The 23,619-nt window shown below is 37.4% G+C and overlaps 1 long non-coding RNA gene across 1 annotated transcript in view; it reads right to left on the bottom strand.

Moving 5' to 3' along the window:
- LOC124902205 (uncharacterized) overlaps positions 1–23,080 on the bottom strand; it is a 75,065-nt gene extending 51,985 nt beyond the window's left edge. Inside the window, exon 1 of the long non-coding RNA XR_007061654.1 lies at positions 23,010–23,080. This is a non-coding gene — a long non-coding RNA (uncharacterized LOC124902205). The remainder of the gene's footprint in view (positions 1–23,009) is intronic.
- Positions 23,081–23,619: the final 539 nt, after the last annotated feature.

Below are 23,619 nucleotides of genomic sequence, written 5' to 3'. Positions count from 1 at the left end.
TTTGGAAATGGAAACTCTTAAAAATAGTGTTTATAGTCTTTGTACAAGATACAAGAAGCAACTGCCTGAAATCTCTGGGGAAATAAGAAGACAAATAACCTATTTTTTAAAAAAAAATAGGCAATAGATTTGAACAGATCCTTAAAAGCAGACATGTGATGGCCAATAAGCTCACGAAAAGATGCTTGAGATTGTCAGTCACCAGAGAAATGCAAATCAAAATCACAATGAGACACCATTCCATGCCCACCGGGATGAAGAAAGGAGAAAGATTGCTCATACCAAGTATTGGCAGAGATGTGAGTCAAATGGAATGGTGCAACCACTTTGGAAACTGGCAGTTTGTTTAAACATATAGTTAAATATAAACAAATATATAACCCAGATGTTATGTTATTAAGTATTTATCCATGAAAAATGTCCACACTGAGAGGTATACATGAATGTTCATGGTGGCATTATTCATAATATCCTAAAACTGGGGACCAGTCAAATGTCCACCAGCAGATAAACGAATAAACAAAATGAAAGTGGAACTTCCATATGATGAGTAATACTCAACATAAAAGGGAATGATTACTGATATGCAAAAATACAGATGAATCTCAAAATCACTATGCTGAGTGAAAGTAGTCAGGCACAAAAGGTCACATATTACATGCTTTCATTTATATAAAACTCTAGGAAAGAGATTTTTAGTGACCAAAAGCAAATCAGGGGTTGCTTGGGCCCAGAAGCAGAGGGAGGGAGGGACTACAAAGAGGTACAAAGAAAAAAAAAGGGCAGGGTGTCATATGTGAATTCTACATCCCTCAATAAAGCTGATTTTCTTTTTTTTTTTTTTTTTTTTGTTTTTAGGAGACTGAGTCTTGCTCTGTCGCCCAGGCTGGGGTGCAGTGGCACAATCTCAGCTCACTGCAACCTCTGCCTCCCAGGTTCAAATGATTCTCCTGCCTCAGCCTCCCGAGTAGCTGGGACTACAGGCGTGCACCACCACACCCGACTAATTTTTGTATTTTTAGTAGAGATGGGGTTTCACTATGTTGGCCAGGCTGGTCTCGAACTCCTGACCTCATGATCAGCCCACCTCAGCCTCCCAAAGTGCTGGGATTACAGGCATGAGCCACCGCGCCCAGCCAATAAAGTTGATTTTTAAAAAATGTTTCAGGCTCCTGCTTAACCCACAAACTTTAAAACATTAGGAGATCTGTTACTTTTTAGGTGAAATTGGAGAACACAGCCTTCTCTGGAGTCATTGGTATTTGAGGACTTGAAACAGGGAGTACTCATTTTCAGGGCACTTTCAAGATTGTAGAATATTTTGCACAGTATTTCCCTGAGGCAAACAAGATTTCAGTCTGTGAATAGGTTTCAGTGTTTGCTTTGGTTCTTTTCAACACAAGTTTACTCTAAAAAGTAAAGCTCTTTTCCCCCAAAAGTGAATAGTGCCATGACACATTACACTCTCCAAGGAGACTGGTCCTTTCGGCAGACACTCTTTGGAGAGCCACAGTCTCTTAGTCATAGTGACAACTTCTCCCATCCTCAATAATGGCCCTGCACTTATGTGCAGAGACGCCAGGTGGCCATCAGTAACACATGAACTTCCAGTTTCTCCTGCCCAGGAAAGATAATCATATTTACAGGGGTGATCCTTCACATATTCTAAAGCCACTCCTTTGCTGTGACTGCCTGATACTGTGGTATGTGGCTGAGCCACCGAGTGAGTGTAATTGGCTTAGCACGGTGCCAACAGAGCCAAGGTCACAGGCGGGTCAAGGTCAGGCGAGGGGAGGAGATGGGGAGATGGCCGCAGCACAATTTGACCCCTTTCACTGTTCATGTGTCAGCGCTGAAAGCAAACAGCAAATTAATTCCTCAAGTACTTGTATTGTCTAATTAGAAAGAAAATAGCAGTTTTGGGGGCCATAACTTCTGCCTAATTCCAAAGTTCTCAAGTCACTCATGAAGTGATAGTGGCAATGCATATTTATCCATGTTGCCCACGTTTGAACGTATGTTAAAGAATGAAAATCATAACTGTCATCCCCCAAAAGCTTTGAGAAACAGAAAACTCTTCATCCTTGAACCTGCCATCCTGAATGGTCCCTCTTTCTCTTCTGGAATGTAAGAGACTCCCTGCCTCTCGGGCTCTCCAGGGAAAACTGTGTGAGCCTGGAGTCCCTGATCACTGCACCGATCAGACTCCCCTTCCTCGGCAGCTCCTGGTCCTCCTGAGAAGCGCATTTGCATGGCCAGGACAAGGAGAATGAAGCAGGGCCGGTGGGGCTCTCTGCTCCCTCGGGACTAGCAGTGAGAATGCACACCCCGCAAGCACAAGGGTCCTCAGGTGCATGATGCAGCTGGACAGACCCCTCCTGGCAACAGCGTGAGTGCTTCATGAAGATCCGCCCCGGGGCAGGAGCCCAAGAGCCAAGAGCTGCCCAGATGAGGCTGTGACCATGCCAGGAGAACGACCTCTCATAGGTGCTCCATCTCAACAGTGTTTCTAATCAAAACATGAAAAAGGATTATAGATTGGGGAAGAAGAGTAATTCCAGACACACCGGCTCTGCTTTCCCCTCTCCCACAGGAAACTGGGATTTGCCAGTGTATGTCCTCTCTCTCTTTCTCTCTCTCACTCTCTCTCTCTGTCACTCTTTCTCTCCTTTGCTTTTCTGCTTTCTGTCTCTTTCTCTCTGTCTCTGTCTTTCTCTCACTCTCTCACTTTGTCTCTCTGTGTCTCTCTCTCTGTCTCTCATTCTGCCTCGCTGCTCTGTCTCTGTCTCTTTCTGCCTCTCTCCCTCCCTTTCTTCTTCTTTCTTCTTTCTTCCTTCTTCTTCCTTCTTCTTCTTCCTCTTCTTCTTCTTTCTTCTTCCTCTTTCTCTCTCTCTCTCTCTCTCTATCTCTCTCCCCCTCTCTCTCTCTTTGTTTCACTCTCCCACTCTCTGTCTCTTGAATCTTGGTGACTGCCTTAGATGGGGTGGGGTGGAATGCAGTAGAAGCGATGCTGTGTGGCCTCCAGAGCTGGATCACAGCAGGAGACACTCAAGTCAGCCTGGTCCTCTCGGTTCTCTCTCTCTCTCTCTCTCTCTCTCTCTCTCTCTCTCTCTCTCTCTCTCCCCACACCGCTATCTGCTTTTGACTCTTTCTCAGTGTCTTCCTCTCCCTCTCTCTCCATCTGCCTCTCTCTCTTCCTCTCTTCTTCCCTTCTTTCTTCTCTCTGCCTCTCTCTTTGACTCTTTCTCTCTCTCCTTCCCTCTCTGTCTCTTTCTTTTTCTCTCTCTCCCTCTCTCTTTCTCCTTGACTCTTCTATGTCACTCCCTCCCTCCCTTTATTTCTCCCTCTCTTCTTTATTTCTGTCTCTCTTTCTCTCTGTCTTCTCTCTGGGAACTGTAGGTTCCATTTAGACATGGACAGCTCAGATAAGGGGGTGTGGAAGAAAGTAATGAAAGGTCACAGAGGACTTGGAGCAGAACCAGCTTTGAAAGACCAAATTCCAGGCCTGAGAATGTCGCATTGTATTAGTGCAAGGTTGGTAACAAGAAATTAGCGCTGAAGGTTGAAAGAGTGGATGGGGGGAGATGGAGAAAAGGAAAATGCACATAGATGGTTTTCATACTTTTAACTTCTTTGCTTGACTTAAACATATTGTTTCCCTAAAGAGGAGTGCCCCCTTCCCTCAAAAAATAAAAGAAGTTTAGTGTTGGGCAGTCCCTTATTTTTGTGTGGCCTTGAGTGTGTGGACAGGATGAAAGTGCAGCTTTAATGACAAGGACTGGCCCTGGAATGCTGACAGGAATAATGACTGAGCAGCAACTTAGTTTTCCACATCAGAGCAGGATTTATATTCCATTCACCAACCCTCAGAGGAATTTCCCCTGTCTCTGATTTGGCCTTGTGAATTTTCCGGCTCATAATATCTCTAAGCAGAAGCAAATGTCTGGAGGGGGGAAGCCTGGTTGACAAAGAGAAGCAGCTCTTTGTCTCTCACTGCAGTTTTAAAAAACCCCACAGATTCCTAGTTTCATGGGCACGACTGCATTTTCATCAAAACCAGGGGCTGGGAACAGGGTGGGCGTTGAGTAGCTGGGTTCTTCCTTCAAAGAAGGTCCATTTAGGGACTTGGCTATGGCCGGGCAGTGGGGGACAAAACAGGCCTCACAAAAGTCCTTCCTGGGAGGAGAGACCAGAGATGAGCTAAGCTCAGTTCCTTGTTTCCTCTGGAACATTCCTCTGGAATGGCGACAGGGTGCTGCTTGAGGGGCAACTCACAGCTGGGCAGTGTGACCCTTGCCGTCCATGCCAGCGAAGCAATAACCTCTTCAGATGTCCCCAGCCAGTGCCCCGAGGATCCCATGCTGCAGCGGACACAGCGCTGGGCTGCAGGGGAGGGCTTGGTTCCCAGTGGCCTCACCCCCTAGAGGCCATCAGCATCGCACAGCTTCTCCACTTGGGGGTGACCACTGAGATCTGTGACTCCACCTGAAGGTAGAGAAATACATTTTTAAAATGACAAAATAGGCCAGGCAAGGTGGCTTACACCTGTAATGCCAGCACTTTCGGAAGCCAACTTGGGTGGATCACCTGAGGTCAGGAGTTTGAGACCACCCTGGCCAACATGGCGAAACACTGTCTCTACCAAAAATACAAAAATTATCCAGGCATAGTGGTGGGCACCTGTAACCCCAGCTACTCGGGCGGCTGAACAGGAGAATCGCTTGAACCTGGGAGGCGGAGGTTGCAGTGAGCCAAGATCACACCACTGCACTCTAGCCTGGGCAGCAGAGCAAGATTCCATCTCCAAAAATAAATGAATAAAATACGAATGACAAAATATCTATATTTAATTCATCATTATGATGATCGAACACTCATTAGTAGCTCCTGCTATGGATCATGCTCTTTGAAGGCAAAAAGTACAAAATATGGTCCCTGCCTCAAACTGCTTATGTGTGTTTGGAGAGGGGCTACGCACATTTAAAAAGGATGAAACAAATGGTAGCATCTTAGGGTTGCTCAACTCAAGTTATTCTTATTAGATGTGTATATACATATATACCTCCCAGTTTTGCATATATAAATAACATCTCACACTGGAAGTGAAGTGAGAGATTGGAAAGTCTTTCCCCAAGTCTTTCCCTAACTCTTTAAATAAGTTATTTGACAATATGAACTTTACTGGATTCTAAAATTCTGAATTCAGAAACACATGGACCTCTGGAAAAACTGAATTGGTCATCAGTAAAAATATGTTCCTGCCCTTGGGGAAACACTGAGGAAAATGAACCTTCGCTGGTACAAAAGGACAGGTGACCCTCTGGCTTCCAGCTGCTGTGCTGACCCAACAGCACAAGAGGAGCCACGGAGCCCACCCACTAACCAGGGCTGCTGCCTCCCCACGAGGGTTGGAAGCCAGAGCAAGTCCCTCGGGGTGCGACCCATGAGTAGGAAAAAATTATCTCATTCATGTTCTTTTTAACCAATGGATTTTGCATTGTATTGATTTAGGAATTCAACTGGGTTTAGAGGAAGAAGACTTTTTCCTGGATTCTTGAGGGTCTTCTGCCAAACAAAGGTGCTTTTGCACAGAAGGAGGTGCAGGTGCAGGTGGCAGGTGATTTCTCATGGCAGTGGAGATGAATGGCTAGTCAAGCCTCAAGAGATGATGTGTGTCTTTTAATGTCTCTATTTGTTAATACAAACTTAAAAAAACTAAAAAACAGAGTTTCATGCATTTCTGGTACTGAACTGATGGTTATAAGGTATTAAGGGCATAAATATCATACCTAGTCCCATTAGACAAGCAGATAAGGAATTTACCTTTCAGCTTTATCTGACAAGCTCTTTTCCTGGGCTACTCCAGTTGGAATCTTGTCTACATTCCACTCTTTCATCAGTAAAACTCAAACTTTCCTAGAATCTTTGCCAATATTCACTAACTAGAAACCTCTTTCTCTGGCTGCAGATACAATTCCATTAACACAAGATGAGGAAATGGAGGCCGTGGATTCCAGGACTTAAAACAAATGTTGCTTCCGCAATATAAGATTATGGAGCTTGTATTTTCTGTCTAACTTGCATATTAGAAACAAGCCATAACTTTCTAATGTTTCTAATGTTCAGAGACTATTCCCCACTTCAGCTTAATATATGTTACTGAGACCAATTTTAAAAATGTTTAAGCTTATATATTGTGTTTTTTTGTTTTAATTTTATTTTAGTGGGTACACAGTAGGTATATATATTTATCAAGTACATGAAATGTTTTGATACAAGCTTGCAATGCATAATAATCACATCATGGAAAATGGGGTGTCCATCCCCTCAAGTGTCTATTCTTTGTTACAATCCAATTATACTTTTAGTTATTTAAAAATGTATAATTAAATTAGTATTGACTATAGTCACCCTGTTGTGCTAGCAAATTCTAGATCTTATTCATTCTTTTAAACTATTTTTTTGTACATATTAACCAGCCCCACCTACCTTGTTCCCCTCACTACCCTTCCCAGCCTCTGGTAACCATCCTACTCTCTATCTCTGTGAGTTCAATTGTTTTGATTTTTAGACCCCATAAATAAACGAGAACATGTGATGTCTGTCTTTCTTTGCCTGGCTTATTTCACTTAACATAATGACCTCTGGTTCAGTCCACTTTGTTGCAAATGACAGGATCTCATTTTTTATGGCTAAATAGTACTCCATTGTATATATGTACCACATTCTCTTTATCCATTCATCTGTTGATGGACACTCAGCTAGGTTTTCAAATTTTGGCGTTGTGAACAGTGCTGCAACAAACATGCGAGTGCAGATATCTCTTTAATAAATGATTTCCTTTGTTTTGTGTATATATCCTGAGTAATTTTCAAATATTTTCTCCCACTCTGTGGATTGTCTCTTTACTTTGTTGATTGTTCCCTTTGCTGTGCAGAAACTTTTTTACTTGATGTGATCCCATTTGTCCATTTTTGTTTTGGTTGCCTGTGTCTGTAGGGTATTACTCAAGATACTTTTGCCCAGACCAATGTCCTGGAGAGTTTCCCCAATGTTTTCTTGCAGTAGTTTTATAATTTGAGGTCTTAGATTTAAGTCTTTAATCCATTTTGATTTTTTTTATTATGAGAGATGGGGTCTAGTTTCATTCTTCTACATATGGATATTCAGTTTTCCCAGCACTATTTATCAAAGAGACTATCTTTTTCCCAATGTATGTTCTTGGCATCTTTGTTGACAATGAGTTCACTATAGGTGTATGAATTTGTTTCTGGGTTCTCTATTCTCTTCCATTGGTCTATATGTCTGTTCTCATGCTAGTATCATGCTGTTTTGGTTACTATAACTCTGTAGTATAATTTGATTTCAGGTAATGTGATTCCTCCAGTTTTGTTTTGTTTTGTTTTTTGTTTAAGATAGCTCTGACTATTCTGGGTCTTTCGTCATTCCATATAAATTTTAAAATCGTTTTTTCTATTTCTTTGAAAAATGTCATTGGTATTTTGATAGGGATTGCATTGAATTTGTAGATTGCTTTGGGTAGTATGGACATTTTAACAATATTGATTTTTCCAATCCATGAACATGGAATGTCTTTCCTCTGTGTGTGTGTGTGTGTGTGTGTGTGTGTGTCCTCTTCAATTTCTTTCATCAGTGTTTTATAGTTTTCATTATAAATATCTTTTACCTCTTTGATTAAGTTAGTTCCTAGGTATTTAGTTTTATTTGTGGCTATTGTAAATGGGATTACATTTTAAATTTCTTTTTCTGATTGTTCACTGTTGGCATATAGAAATGCTACTGATTTTTATATGTTGGTTTTGTATCCTGCAACTTTACTGAATTTGTTTATTGGTTCTAACAGTGTTTTGTGGTTTTCCAAATGTAACATTGTATCATCTGCAAACAAGAATTTTCCAAATATAAGATTGTATCATCTGCAAACAAAAATAATTTGACTTTTTCCTTTCAAGTTTGGATGCCCTTTATTAATTTCTCTTGTCTGATTGCTCTAGCTAGGGCTTCTAGTACTACGTAAATAACAGTGGTGAAAGTGGGCATCCTTGTAGTGTTCTTGACCTTAGAGAAAGGGTTTTCAGTTTTTTTCTCATTCAGTATGATACTACCTGTAAGTCTGTCATAAATGGTTTTTATTATGTTGAGGTATGTTCATTTTATACCCAGTTTTTTGAGGGTGTTTATCATGAAGGGATGTTGAATTTTATCAGACGCTTTTTCAGCATCTGTTGAAATAATCATATTTTTTATGCCCCCCCACTTAGTCTGCTGGCTCTGGGTCCAGTTCAGCACACCTAGGAGTTGCAGACCTTGTGGCCTAGACTGCCTTTCACATTTATTTACAGCCCTAGAACACTTTAGCCCATAGTGATGAGGCTTGTGGGAATTCAAGTTCAGACGGCTGAGATCAGTGATTCCCTAATGGCTATGGCTGGTTTAAATGCTCTTTGGTGGGCAGGTGTCAGCTGAGTTTGGTCTAGTTTTGTTTTTTTCATATAACAGGGCAACACTGAGTTCAATGTCTCATAATTGCTATGCTCTCCCTCTCCCCAGAGCACAAAGCTGCTCTCTACACCACGCCACCACAACTAAAGGGATGAGGGAGTAGTGGCATTAGTGATTCAAGACTGTTTTTCCTACCTCTTCAGTGCCTTTTTCAGCAATATGTGGTTAAAACCAGGTAATGTGAGTGCTTACCTGATTTTTGGTTCTTATGAAAGTGGTTTTATTGTGTGTGGATAGTTGTTAAATTGATGTTCTTGCTGGGGGTGATGATCAGTGGAGATTTCTTTTCCACCTCTTGCTCTGTCCCCCAATCTGTGTTCCTTTTTAAAAAAATCCCTAAGTTTCTAGAATTGGGTTTAGAGGTTCAAACTCTTGAGCAAATAGCTCCGTTACAGAAATCTACTTTCAATCAAGTAGAGAAATAAACACTCTGCCAGCCTCAATATTTCTTCTGCACACAACACAGTCAATGTACCATTTTCACTCAACAGGGACACTCACGAATTTTCAGGATGTCACAGTCTAGTATATGCTCCCAGTCCTCCAGTATAATTAGCATACTAAGATAATTTAAGCCCATGAATCAGAGTTGTCCAGGAGAAGCAAAAAAAAAAGAGAGAGAGAAAAATTTTAACAGAAGATATTCTTATTAAAGTAACCAAAATTACAGTTGCAACTCCTAGCACATTCTGTATATATAACGGATACACAATAAATATAAATAAAAGCATTAGCAAGCATATGGGCTAATGTTGCCCCTTAGAGCAGAATGGCCACAGGCTGGCCTGAGGCCAATCCTCTCCATGCTAGCTCTATGTGAAGGCTCACAGCCCCACATGTGCTAAATCCTCTTTTTTCCTTTATATCAAAGCTTAGTTTTCAAACCTCTGAACACCTGACCCTCATATATTAAGAATGTGTCAAAAGATCACATTTATTTAACTCATTAAGGAGAAAACTAATACACGAAGCATGGCAAAGCTCTTTCAAAGGAGGATATGAGGATGCATACAAATGCACATGCACACATTCAATGGGAAAAAATGCAACTTTGGGGTAATCATTTCCACCACATAGAAGTCATTTTCATACTCAGTGGCAAAAATTATTGGTAACTTGTGAATTTTGTATTAAGTTAACATCTAACCTTACCAACTCTGGCAGTAAATAATAGGAAACAATAAGCCTACGAGCTACTGTTCACTAGAACATCAAATAATTATTAGGTTGTATTGATAAAGTCTAATTATGACTATCAATATTTTTCCATTCTCCCTTTTTTTTATGAATTTCCTTAATAATCACAGCATACAGAATATATCCAATTCTTAAAGTACTGAAGAAGGTTAATCTTAGAACAAAATAAAATAGCCCATTACCCTTTTGATTTAGAATTAACCATAAATAAAATGATTCTCATACTTAATCTTTCACAAACCTTTTGACTTACTATGCATAAAAAATTAGTATTCCTTTGGATCTAAGAAATTTTTTTAATAAAAACATATTTTTCATACAAGTCTCCCACTATACCTGTTTTCAAAATATGAACAATTAATTAAGGAAATAATTTGCATTTAGCAGATGGTAATAATAGATTATTGTCAGGAACTATTATCTGAATATGGAAGGAAAAGAAGATCTGAATAGAACTCCCTTATTTGATTGGCTTTGTGCTCTGCTAGAAAAATGGGCAAAAATTATGACAGGGTGTGTCAGAAGTCCTGCAGTAAGGGGTCCTAAGGAAAGGACATATCGATCTTAGGTGAGAAGCATTCAGTTTTTCATCATTATGTATGTAAACTGTGTTTTTCATAGATGTCCTTTATGAAGTTAAGGAAATTCTCTTCTCTTTTAGCTTGTTGAGAGATTCTATCCTTAATGGATGTTGTATTTTGTCAAATGCATTTTCTGTGTCTATTGAGGTAATTATATTTAATTAGACTCTGAGATACTTGTCTTTTGAGATACTTGTAGATTCACGTGAAGATGTAAAAAACAATATAGAGAGATTCGGTGTACCCTTAACCTGGTTTCCCCCAATGGTAACATCTTGCAAATTTATAGTATAATATTAAATCAGGACATTGACATTGATAGAATGAAGATACAAAACATTTCCATCAAATAAGGATCCCTCCTGCTGCCTTTTATTAGCCACTCACATTTCCCTCCCATCTATTTTTAAGTTTTCTACTGTTTCATTGATCTATGTGTACATTCCTCTGCTGATAGCATGCACTTTTGGTTATTGTAGCTATGTAATAAGTCTCAGAATTGAGTAGACTGATTCTTTCCATTTTTCTCAAAAGTATTTTAGCTATTTTAGTTATATTGCCTTTCTGTATAAATTTTAGATTATCTTGTCTATATTTATTTAAAAACCTGGCTAGGATTTTGAAAGGAATTTCATTAAATTGGAATATCAATTTGTGGACAACTGACATCCTCATTATATTGAGTCTTCCAATCCATGAACATGGTATGCCTCTCCATTCATTTAGACCTTCTTTGATTTCCTTCATCAACATTCTGCAGCTTCCAGCATATGAGTCCTGTACATGTTAGTTATATTTATATCTAGGTACTTCATTTTCTTTTTGAGCAATTGGAAATCGTATTGTATTTTTAATTTGGGTGTCTATATGTTCATCACTAGTACATAGAAATACAGCTAAATTTTGAGTGCTAAATTTGTATTATAAGACATTATTAAATACACTTAGTTGTAGTTTTTGGAGTTTTTTGTTGTTGTTTTAGATTTTTTGAGATTTTCCACAGAGACAACCATGTTATTTAAAAAGAAATACAGTTTTCTGTCTTCCTTTCTGATCATATGCCTTTTATTTCCTTCCTTTCCTCATTGCACTGGCTAGAAATTCCATGACTATGTTGTATAGTGATGGTGAGAGTGATCATCTTTGCCTTGTTGCCAATCTTAGGGGGAAGCATTCAGTCTTTGGTATAACAGTATACCATTAAGTGTACTGTTAGCTGTATTTTTTATAGATGTTCTTTACCAAGTTTAGAAAGGTGTCCTTTATTCCCATTTTTCTGACAGTATTTGTCATGCATAGGTATTGAATTTGGTGAAATGCTTTTTCTGTCTTGATTGATATCATCTGTGATTTTTATTCTTTAGTCTGTTATTATTGTGGTTTACACTGATTAATTTTGAATATCGAGTTAGCATTGCATCCCTGGCATAAACCCTACTTGTTGATAATATACACTCCTTTTATATTTGCTGGATTCTATTTGCCAGCAAATAGAATTTTCTTGATATTGTATCTATACTCATAACGGATATTGTGTAGTTTTATTTTTTGTATTGCCTTTACTAGTTTTAGGATCAGGGTAAGAGTAGCTTCATAAAATTAATTGGAAAGTGTCCCCTCCTTTTCTATTTTCTGGAGGAGTTTGTGTAGAATTGGTATTACATCTTTAAACATGTGGCAGAATTCTCCACTGAAACCATCTGGAACTGTAAATTTCATTTTTGGAATTATTACATTATAGAATCTATTTAATAGTTATAATGCTATTCAAATAGTCATTTTCTATGTTGTGTGAGTTGTGATGGATTTTACTTTATTAGGATTTGGCCCATTTCATAAATGTTTGTCAAATTTGTATGTGTAGATTTACTCATAGTCCTCCCTTATCCTTTTGATATCTGTAGTGATATTTGTTGTTCATTGCCGATATTGGTCACTTGTTTCTTTTGTTTCTCTTTTTTCTGTTGGCCTTATTAGAAATTTGTCAAATGTATTGATATTTTCAAAGAATCAGCTCTTAGTTTCATTGGTAGGATTCATTGTCTTACTGTTTTCATTTCTGCTTTTATCCTTATTATTTCCTTCCATTGGCATGCTTTGAGTTTTTTGGCTCTTTATTTTCTGTGTTCTTGAGGCAGAAGACTTTATACTTCTCTAATGTGTACATTAAGTGCTATAAATTTTCCTTTCACTAAACCATACTTTAGCTGTGTTACACCAATTTTTTGATATGTTGCATTTTCGTTTTCATTCAATTCAGTGTGTTTCTCAAAATTTCCCTTCAGATACTTCCTCTTTGACCATGAATTAAAGTATGCTGTTAGGGGTTGGGCACAATGGCTCATGCCTGTAATCCTAGTGCTTTGGGAAGCTGAGTTGGGAGGATCGCTTGAGGCCAGGAGTTCAAAACCAATCTGAGCAGTACAGCGAGACTCCATCTCTACAAAAAGTAAAAAAAAAAAAAAAAAAAGCCAGGCCTTGTGGCATGCACTTGTAGTCCTAGCTACACAGGAGGCTGAGGTAGGAGGATTGCTTGAGCCCAGGAGTTTGAGGTTGCAGTGAGCCATAACCATGCCACTGCACTCCAGCCTGGGTGACTGAGCAAGACGCTGTCTCTGAAGAAAAAAAAAAAGTATACTGTTAAATTCCACGTTTGAAGATTTTCTTGTTATCTTTCTGTTGTGGAGTTGTAGTTTGATTCCACTGTGGACAAAAAACACTTGGTGTGATTTCAATAACTTTAAATTTATCAAGGTTTGTTTTATATGATCTAAGTATGTTTCATGGGTGCTTGAATAGAACTGTGTTGTTGGATGGAGTATTTAATAATGCCAATTAGATATTTGTTCATGGCACTTTTGAGTTTTCTGTCTTTGCTGATTTTTGTCTAATTGGATTAGTTGTTAGGAGAGTGGTGGTAAAGTCTCCAATTATACTTATGGACTTATGTGTTTCTCTTTTCAGTTCTTTTTTAGTTTTCTTATACTTTAAATTAGTTTTTTTTTCTCGGCATATTTTGTTGCTGTCATATTTACTGCATAAACATTTAGGGTTGCTATGACTGCTTGGTGATTGACTATTTTGTCATTACATAATATCCTTCTCTGTCTCTGGCATATTTATGTACTCTGAAGCCTACTTTATATGATATTAATATAGCCACTACTGGGGTTTTTTAATTAATGTTTGCTACTCCTGTTGTGTTTCAATTAATGTTTATATGATATATATATCTTCACCCTTTTACTTTCAACCTGCCTGTATCATTCTATTTGTAGTGAGTTTCTTGTAGATAATGTGTCATGTTTTTAATCTACTTTGCCAACTTTTATTTTTTAATTGACATATATAAACAATTGACATTTAATGTAATCTGCTGATATGTTAGGGCTTAACTCAGCCATTCTACTTTATCATTTTCTGCTTATTCTGCTTTCCCTTTAACTGTTTTCTTTTTTATATATCATTGTGGGTTATTTGAATGTTTTTATAATTTTATTTTTATTTATCTACAGTGTTTTAGAGTGTATTTCTTTGTATAGCTTTTTTAGTGGTTGCTTTACATATTACAATATATACAGAAAACTTATCAGTCTACTGGTAAGTAGACAAAATATAGAAAGTATATCTACCTTTATGTCCTTTACCCTCTCCCACTTATAATACAATTGTTTTAAATTTTTTCCAGAAACATTTAGAACCACATCAGATAGCATTAGAATTTTCTTTCAGCCATCAAACTTAATTTAGAGAATTGAAGGAGAAGGAAAGTCTATTGTATTTACTTGTAATTTCACTTTGTTCTTTTTTCCATCCTGACAGCTCAAGATTTCTTTTTTTTCTTCTTCTTTGTTTTATTTCAATTGGTTTTGAGGGAACAGGTGGTGTTTGGTTACACGAATAAGTTCTTTAGTGGTGAATTCTAAGATTTTGGTGCACCCACCCGAGCAGTGAACACTGTACCCAATGTGTAGTCTTTTATTCCTTATTTTCCTCCCACCCTTTCCCGAGTCCCCAAAGTCAATTGTATCATTCTTATAACTTTGTGTCCTCATACCTTAGCTCCCACTTATGAATGAGAACATATGATGTTTGTTTTTCCATTTCTTCACTTAGAATAATGGTCTCCAATTCCATCCAGGTAGCTGCAAATGCCATTATTTCCAATTATTTTATTCCTTTTTATGGTTGATTAGTATTCCATGGTGTGTGTATATATATATATATATCGTGTGTGTGTGTGTGTGTGTGTGTATATATATATAAAATCACATTTTCTTTATCCACTCATTGATTGATGGGCATTTGGGCTGGTTCCATATTTTTGCAATTGCCAATTGTGCTGCTACAAACGTACATGTACAAGTCTCTTTTTTGTAAATGACTTCTTTTCCTCTGGGTAGATACCCAGGAGTGGGATTGCTGGATCAAATAGTAGATCTACTTTTAGTTCTTTGAGGAATCTCCACACTCTTTTCCATAGTGATTGTACTAATTTGCATTCCCACCAGCAGTGTAAAAGTGTTCCCTTTTCACCACATCCATGCCAACATCTTTTTTTTTTATGGCCATTCTTGCAGGAGTAAAGTGATATCACATTGTGGTTTTGATTTACATTTTCCTGATAATTAGTAATATTGAGCATTTTTTAATATGTTTATTGGCCATTTGTATATCTTCATTTGAGAATTCATTTGATAATTCATGTCCTTAGCCCACTTTTTGATGGGATTCTTTGTTTATTCCTTGCTGATTTGTTTGAATTCCTTGTAAATTCTGGATATTAGTCCTTTGTCAGATGTATAGATTGCAAAGATTTCTCCCACTCTGTGGGTTATCTGTTTACTCCACTGTTTCTTTTGCTGTGCAGAAGCTTTTCAGTTTTATTAAGTCCCATCTATTTATCTTTGTTTTTGTTGCATTTGCTTTCGGGTTCTTGGTCATGAAGTTTTTGCATAAGCCAATGTCTAGAAGGATTTTTCCAATATAATTTTTTAAAATTTTTATGATTTCAGGTCTTAGATTTGTCTTTGATCCATTTTGAGTTGAGTTTTGTATAAGATGAGAGATGAGGATCCAGTTTCATTCTTCTACACTTGGCTTGCCAGTTATCCCAGCACCATTTGTTGAATAGGGTGTCCTTTCCACACTTTATGTTTTTGTTTGCTTTGTCAAAGATCAGTTGGCTGTAAGTATTTGGGTTTATTTCTGCGTTCTCTATTCTGTTCCATTGGTCTATGTGCCTATTTTTATACCAGTACCATGCTGTTTTGATGACTATGGCCTTATAGAATAGTTTGAAGTCAGTTAGGTAATGTAATGCCTCCAGATTTTTTCCTTTTGCTTAGTCCTGCTTTGGCTATGTGGGCCTCTTTTTGTTCCATATGAATTTTAGAGGTTTTTTTTTCTAGTTCTGTGAAGAATGATGGTGGTATTTTGATGGGAATTGCATTGAATTTGTAGATTGCTTTTGGCAGTACGGTCATTTTCACAATACTGATTCTACCCATCCAAGAGCATAGAATGTGTTTCCATTTGTTTGTGTTGTTTATGATTTCTTTCATCAGTGCTTCATAGTTTTCCTTGTAGAGGTCTTTCACCTCCTTTGTTAAGTATATTTCTAAGAATATTTTTTTATTGAAGCTATTGCAAAAGGGGTTGAGTTCTTGATTTGATTCTGAGCTTGGTTGCTGTTGGTGTATAGCAGAGCTACTTATTAGTGTACATTAATTTTGTATCCTGAAGCTTTACTGAATTCATTTGCCAGTTCTAGGAGCTTTTTGGATGAGTCTATAGGGTTTTCTATGTATACGAGTATGTCATCAGCAAATAGCGACAGTTTGACTTCCTCTTTACCGATTTCGATGTTCTTTATTTCTTTCTCTCGTTTGATTGCTCTGTCTAGGACTTCCAGTGCTATGTTGAATAGAAGTAGTGAAAGTGGTCAACCTTGTCTTGTTCCAGTTCTCAGAGGAAAAACTTTCAACTTTCAACTTTTCCCCATTCAGTATAATGTTGGTTGCGGGTTTGTCATAAATGGCTTTTATTATCTCCTTCTATTTTGCTGAGGGTTTTAATGATGAGGAGATGCTGGATTTTGTCAAATGCTTTTTCTGCATCTATTGAGATGATCATGTGATTTTTGTTTTAAGTTCTGTTTATATGGTGTACCACATTTATTGACTTGCATATGTTAAACCATTCCTGCATCCCTGGTTTAAAACCCACTTGATCATGGTGGATTATCTTTTTTATATGTTGTTGGATGATGTTAGCTAGTATTTTCTTAAGAATTTTTGCATCTATGTTCATCAGGGATATTGGTCTGTAGCTTTCTTTTTGGTTATGTCCTTTCCTAGTTTTGGTATTTGGGTGATACTGGCTTCATAGAATGACTTAGGGAGGATTTCCTCTTTCTCTATCTTTTGGAATAGTCTCAATAGGACTGGTACCAATTCTCCTTTGAATTTTTGATAGAATTCAACTGTGAATTCCTCTAGCCCTGGACTTTTTTTGTTGGTAATTTTTTAAATTACCATTTCAATCTTGCTGCTTGTTACTGGTTTGTTCAGAGTTTCTATTCCTGGTTTAATCTAGGAGGGTTGTATATTTCCAGGAATTTATTAGTCTCCTCTAGGCTTTCTGGTTTACACACATAAAGGTGTTCATAGTACCCTTGATTGATCTTTTGTATCTCTGTAGTATTGGCTGTAATACCTCCTGTTCCTTTTCTAATTGAGCTTATTAGGATCATCTCTTTTCTTTTCTTGGTCAATCTCATTAACAGTCTATCAATTTTATTTATCTTTTAAAAGAGCCAGTTTTTTGTTTCATTAATCTTTGTATTTTTTTGTTTCAATTTCATTTCATATAGTTCTGCTCTGATCTTGGTTATTTCTTTTCTTCTGCTGGGTTTGAGGTTGGTTTGTTCTTGTTTTTCTAGTTCCTTGATGTGTGACCTTAGATTGTCTGTATTCTTTCAGACTTTTTGATGTAGGCATTTAATGCTACAAACTTACCTCTTAGCACTGCCTTTGCTGTATCCCAGAGGTTTTGATAGTTGTGTCACTATTATTGCTCAGTTCAAAGAATTTTTTAACTTCCATCTTGATTTTATTGTTAACTCAGTGATCATTCAGGAGCAGGTTATTGGTTTCTGTGTAGTTGCATGGTTTTGAGAGTTTCTTTTGGAGTTGATTTCTAATTTTATTCCACTGTAGTCTGAGAAAGTACTTGGTATAATTTCAATTTTCTCAAATTTATTGAGACTTGTTTTGTGGCCTATCATATTATCTACCTTGGAGAATATTTCATAAATAGAAGGTATATTCTGCAGCTATTTGATAGAATGTTCTATAAATATCTGTTAAGTTCATTTGTTCCAGGATATAGTTTAAGTTCATCATTTCTTTGTTGACTTTCTATCTTGATACCTGTCTAGTGTTGTCAGTGGAGTATTGAAGTCCCCCACTATTATTGTGTTGCGGTCTATCTCATTTCTTGGGTCTAGTAGTAATTGTTTTGTAAATCTGGGAGCTCCAGTGTCAGGTGCACATATATTTAGGATTGTGATATTTTCCTGCTGGACTAGTCCTTTTATCATTACACAAGATCCCTCTTTGTCTTTTTTAACTGCTGTTGCTTTAAAGTCTGTTTTGTTTGATATAAGAATAGTTACTTCTGCTTGCTTTTGGTGTCCATTTGCATGGAATAGCTTTTTCCAACCCTTTACCTTAAGTTTATGTGAGTCCTTATGTGTTAGGTGAGTCTCTTGAAAATAGCAGATAATTGGTTGTTGAATTCTTATCCATTCTGCCATTCTGTATCTTTTAAGTGGAGTATTTAGGCCATTTACATTTAACATTAGTATTGAGATGTGAGGTACTATGCTATTAATTGTGCTATTTGTTGCCTGAATACCTTGGGTTTTTCATTGTGTTTTTCTTTTATAAGTCCTGTGAGATTTATGCTGTAAAGATGTTCTATTTTGGTGTATTTTAGGATTTGTTTCAAGATTTAGAGGTCCTTTTAGCAGTTCTTGTAGTGCTGGCTTGGTAGTGGTGAATTATCTTCACATTTGTTTGCTTGAAAATGACTGTATTTTTCCTTCATTATGAAGCTTAGTTTCACTGAATACAAAATTCCTGGCTGATAATTGTTCTGTTTAAGGAGGCTAAAGGCAGGATCCCAATCTCTTCTAGCTTGTAGAGTTTCTGCTGAGAAATCTGCTGTTAGTCTGATAGAGCTTCCTTTATAAGTTACCTGATGTTTTTGCCTCACAGCTCTTAAGATTCTTTCCTTCATCTTTATTTTAGATAACCTGATGACTGTGTGCCTAGGCGATCATCTTTTTGCAGTGAGTTTCCCAGGTGTTCTTTGAGCTTCCTGTATTTGGATGTCTAAATCTCTAGCAATGCTGGGGAAGTTTTCATCTATTATTCCCTCAAATATGTTTTCCAAAATTTTAGATTTCTCTTCTTCCTCGGGAAAACAATTATTCTTAGGTTCGGCCATTTAACATAGTCCCAATCTTCTTGGAGGCTTTGTTCATTTTTTATTGTTGTTTTTTTTTTCCTTGTCTTTGTTGGATTGGATTAATTCAAAAGCCTTGCCTTTGAGCTCTGAAGTTCTTTCTTCTACTTTTTGATTCTATTGCTGAGAGTTTCCAGTGCATTTTGCAATTCTCCAAGTGTGTTCTTCATTTCCAAAAGTTGTGATTTTTTTTAATTTATGCTATCTATTTCACTAAAGATTTTCCCATTTATATCCTGTATTTTCTTTTTGATTTCTTTCAGTTGGACTTCACCTTTCTCTGGTGCCTCCTTAATTGGCTTAATAGTCAACCTTCTAATTCTTTTTCTGGCAATTCTGAGATTTTTGTCTTGATGTTTTGGGGGTGTTAAAACCTTGTTTTGTCATATTACCAGAATTGTTTTTCCAGCTCTTTCTCATTTTGGCAGACTATGTCAGAGGGAAGATCTGTGACTCAAGTGTTGCTGTTCAGATTCTTTTGTCCCACAGGGTGCTCCCTTGATATGGTGCTCTTCCCCTTCTTCTAGGAATGGGGTTTCCTGACAGCCTAACTGCAGCCATTGTTATTTCTCCACTGGATCTAGCCACCCAATAGAACTACCAGGCTCTGGATTGGTACTGAGGAGGGAGTGTCTGCAAAGAGTCCTGTGATGTGATCCATCTTTAGCTCTCTCAGCTATGGATACCAGCACCTGGTGGAGGTAGCTGGGGAGTGAAGTGGACTCTGTGAGGGTATGTGGTTGTATTTTTGTTTAGTGCACTGGTTTTGTGTTCGTTGGCCTCCAGCCAGGGCGTGGCACTTTCAAGAGCACATCAGAATTCCACAGCTGTCCCATGGAGCCTGCAGCAGCAACCCACCTCCTTCAAAGGGTCTTTGGATTCTCTCAGCATTCCTGGTATGTTCCTGTGGCAGGTCTTGGAGCAAAATTTCACAATGTGTGTCTCCACACACTGCTCTGTCCATCTGAGTGGGAGTTGAAAGTTAGTCTTGCCTCCTCTCTGCCATTTTCTCTCCCAGACAGTTCTGGAGACTAGATGTCCAAGATCAAGGTGCCAGCTGGTTTAGAGTCTGATAATAGCCCAGTCTCTGCTTCCAAGCTCCCAAGATTTCTTATTTTATAATTTCCTTTATGTTTAACCCATTTCCCTTTAGAAAAAAAAATGCAGCTCACTGCCAGCACTCATTTAATTTTACATGCTCTTTGAGGCTGAGTCAAATCTGACTGATTTTCAATGTGAAAATGAAATATAAAAACTGTTTTTGCAGTTACTTCTAAACAGAACTTGTCTCTAATACTAATGTAACAGAAATGTCTATGATGTCACGTTAGGATTAGAGAGAAGAGTATTCTCAGGGCAAAGAGGAAATGGGTTAAATAACTTCCTTTAGTTATTCTTTTGGGGTTGGTCTGTTGGCAGCAGATTCCCTTAGGTTTTCTTCATTTGAGAGTGTCCTGATTTCCCCTTCATCCTTAAAAGATATAATATTCTGTACTAACAATTCTGTTCTTTCTGCGCTTACAAAATGTTGTGACCCTTCCTTCTTGCCTCCTTGGTTTCTAATGGAAAACTCATTGTCATTTAGACTGTCTTTCCTCTGTAGGTAAGACATCCTTTCTCTTTTGCTGCTTTCAATATTTTTTCTTTGTTTCTTTGTTTCTAGTTTTCAGAAGCTTTAGTATGATGTGTCCTGGTGTTGATCTCGTTTGGAGTTTATTTCACTTCTTGAATCTGTAGTTTAAGTCTTTTGCCAAATTTGGTATATTTTCAGCCATTACTTATTTGAATACATATTTGTTCCTGCAGCATTTCTATTCTTACACTCTTATTACAGACTATGAGGATAGAAATTCAATTTCCTGGCATGGTGGCCACTGACAGCATGGAAGCAGGAGGTGTCTTACTGTTGGGCGGGGATGAAAGTCTTGACTCTTAACTCCAGCTGCTCTGATACCAACCAGGATGAAGAAATTGGGGATAGGGGTGTTTGGAACACCTTGTTACTTCATGAGGTTAGGAGTTTGGGGTCCTTGGCCTTTGCTGGTGTAGGTGGGGATGGGATCAAGTGTTTTCTGTGTTTTTTGATTGGAATTGAGCAATTACAGTCTAAAAGTTTAATATCTTGTGAGGCTGCTCCTTTTCTGGTGTTTTGGCTAGCAAGAGTAGGTTTTTGTTTGGACTATTTTTGTCTGAACTTGTTGGCATCATTGTACTGCCAACTTTGCCAACATCCATTCTGATATATGAGGTAAAAGTAAACTCAGGAGTTCACCACCATATTGCTACTTAGACTGAGGTACCTATTAATAGCTGGTCTTTTTTTTTACTCCTCCCTTGAGAGTCTTTTTATTTCTTGAAATGAGCATTGGCGTGTGTATAAGTTGATAGACAAGAAAAAGCACATCCACTTTACCTTCATGGAAATGGAAGTGGGAGTATTTTACAGGTTTCTGAATGTTAAGCCAACCTTGCATTCCTAAAATACATCCCACTTGGTCATAATATATTGCCTTTCTATTTGAATAATATAATATTTAGTTGAGGGATAATTATTCCCTACCATTGAAGCAAGACAGTTCTGTGTAACGTGCCTAACATTTTTTGAATGTGTATTTTCAGTCTGGATGATTAGGAAAGGCACCATCCCCAGCCCTTTGTGAACACCAAACACTGGTACCTTTACATTTCTAGATAGTTCACTCACTGGTCTTGGGTAATTTCCTCAGCTGAATGGATTGATTAATTAATACTCAGCTGAATGGATATCATCAAAAGGTAAATACATTAAGCAAATTGTGTTACATGCATGAAATGAAATACAACTCAGCAGTAAAAAAAAAGGTGTAAACTATTGATAGGGGCTACAATGTGGATACATTTCAAAATAATTTTGCTGATAGAAAGAATTCAGATCAAAACCAATGTGTATACTCATCTTTTATTTTTATAAATTTCTACAAAATGCTATTTAACTTATAGTGGCAGAAAACAGACCAGTGGCTGTCTATGGATGTGGGTGCATGGGACATGGTGAGAGGGAGTGATTCCAAAGGGAAATGAGAAAACTTTTGGGGATGATGTGTATGATCATTATCTTGGTTATGATGATGGTTCCATAAGTGCATACAAATGTCAGTAGAGTATTAAATGTAAATTTTAAATATGCACACTTATTTTATATCAATTATACCTCTTTAAAGCTGTTTTTTATTTTAAAAAATTAAAAAATTAAAAACTCCAGAGGTTAGGGCTGTATTGTCAGGTAAAGTATTAACCTCTTCTTTTCATCTAACTTAGACATCATATTCCAGCAGCCTTTCTTTCACTGACCATATCTACATAAGACCCTTACATTCTCCTTTGAATCACATTTGTCATCTTGCCGATTCCCTCATTAATGTTAGGTATGATTTGTCCATCAAGAATAATAATAATAATAAAAATAAAAATAATTTTTAATGTTAGGTATGCACTGACTCTACACTTTATATACTTGAAGGAGAATTATGTTTTTATCATTTTACAAATTATTATTTGATAAGACTTTTACCTAGAAAAACATAAAATACATTCATTTAAAATATTAATACAAATTCTTTATGAGAAAATGTCTATAAACATCAAGTATCAAATAGTACATCTCTTAACTCCCTTTCTCTACCACTGATTCTGTGGAAACAATTGTATTATACTCAATTTTTGACAACTTGGGGATTCTTAGGGCTCTTACGAACTATAAGCTTATAGTTCCTATAAACTAATAATCTTAGGATTCTTCGAAACTATAAACTTAAGCAGAGCAAATAAAATTTCATGTCTTAGGCATGATGTGAAAATGAAGATGAGACACAAAAACGCTTGTATATTTTAAGGCAAATATTAAGATCCATCTGGGAATTTGGGAGATGGTGTAAAATCCAGGCAAACTGCATAAAATAGAAAACACATGGTCTATAAAAAAAAGTGGATGGGAAAGTTAGGAGTACAGGTGATTAAATTTTGGCATTTGAGCCCATATGTCACAGGAATGATTATCTCTACATTATGCACTCAAATGAACAGGCAAAGAAGGAAAAATGATGGATGGAAATGATGTACAGAAAAAAGGGAATAAAAACAAAATTAGACAAGAGAGAAATTGGAAGAGTCTGGATATATATAATCATGTTGACTTACCCTGAGAAATGGGGAACACACATCCTGGGACAAGTGGTACACAGTTATGCAGCTGTGGAACACAGTCATCTGAAAAAACACAGGCAAATACACATCACCAAACAAGGGGCCTGTGGGACATAAAGGCTCCCACCCAGGGATGTGGCTGAGTAAAGACTGGAGGATATTAAGGAATGCCCCCAAGGGCAGATGACTCAGCAATGTGCTGACAAACTGTTCTAAGGAAACAGACTTGCGCTGAAGTTTCCATCTAACCCTCTGTGCTCTCTAGCATCTGGACACTCTGTTCATGAAAATCATTATAGACCTGAATGGAATTTCCCTCTTTCAAAGATGACTTATAAGCCCAAAATGTTCAGTGCTGCACATAAATACTACCCTCACCTCTGTCACTGCTACTCAGAGAGGGAGAGAGAGAAAAAAATGGGAGAAAGTAAATAAATATCATAATACTAAAATACATTTCAAGATAAAAATTGTTCCAAGCATCAAAAAAAATTTCAAATTATTGTAATCTACAGTGTTAAAGAAATTAAAGAAAAACATGGACACTGGGGAAAAAATCACAGAGGAGATTACTTATTTTGTTTTTTGTTTGTTTGTTTTTGAA

The sequence above is a fragment of the Homo sapiens genome, chromosome 9, assembly GCF_000001405.40.
Source record: "Homo sapiens chromosome 9, GRCh38.p14 Primary Assembly".
NCBI lineage: Eukaryota > Metazoa > Chordata > Mammalia > Primates > Hominidae > Homo > Homo sapiens.
This window is presented reverse-complemented; position numbering and strand designations above follow the sequence as displayed.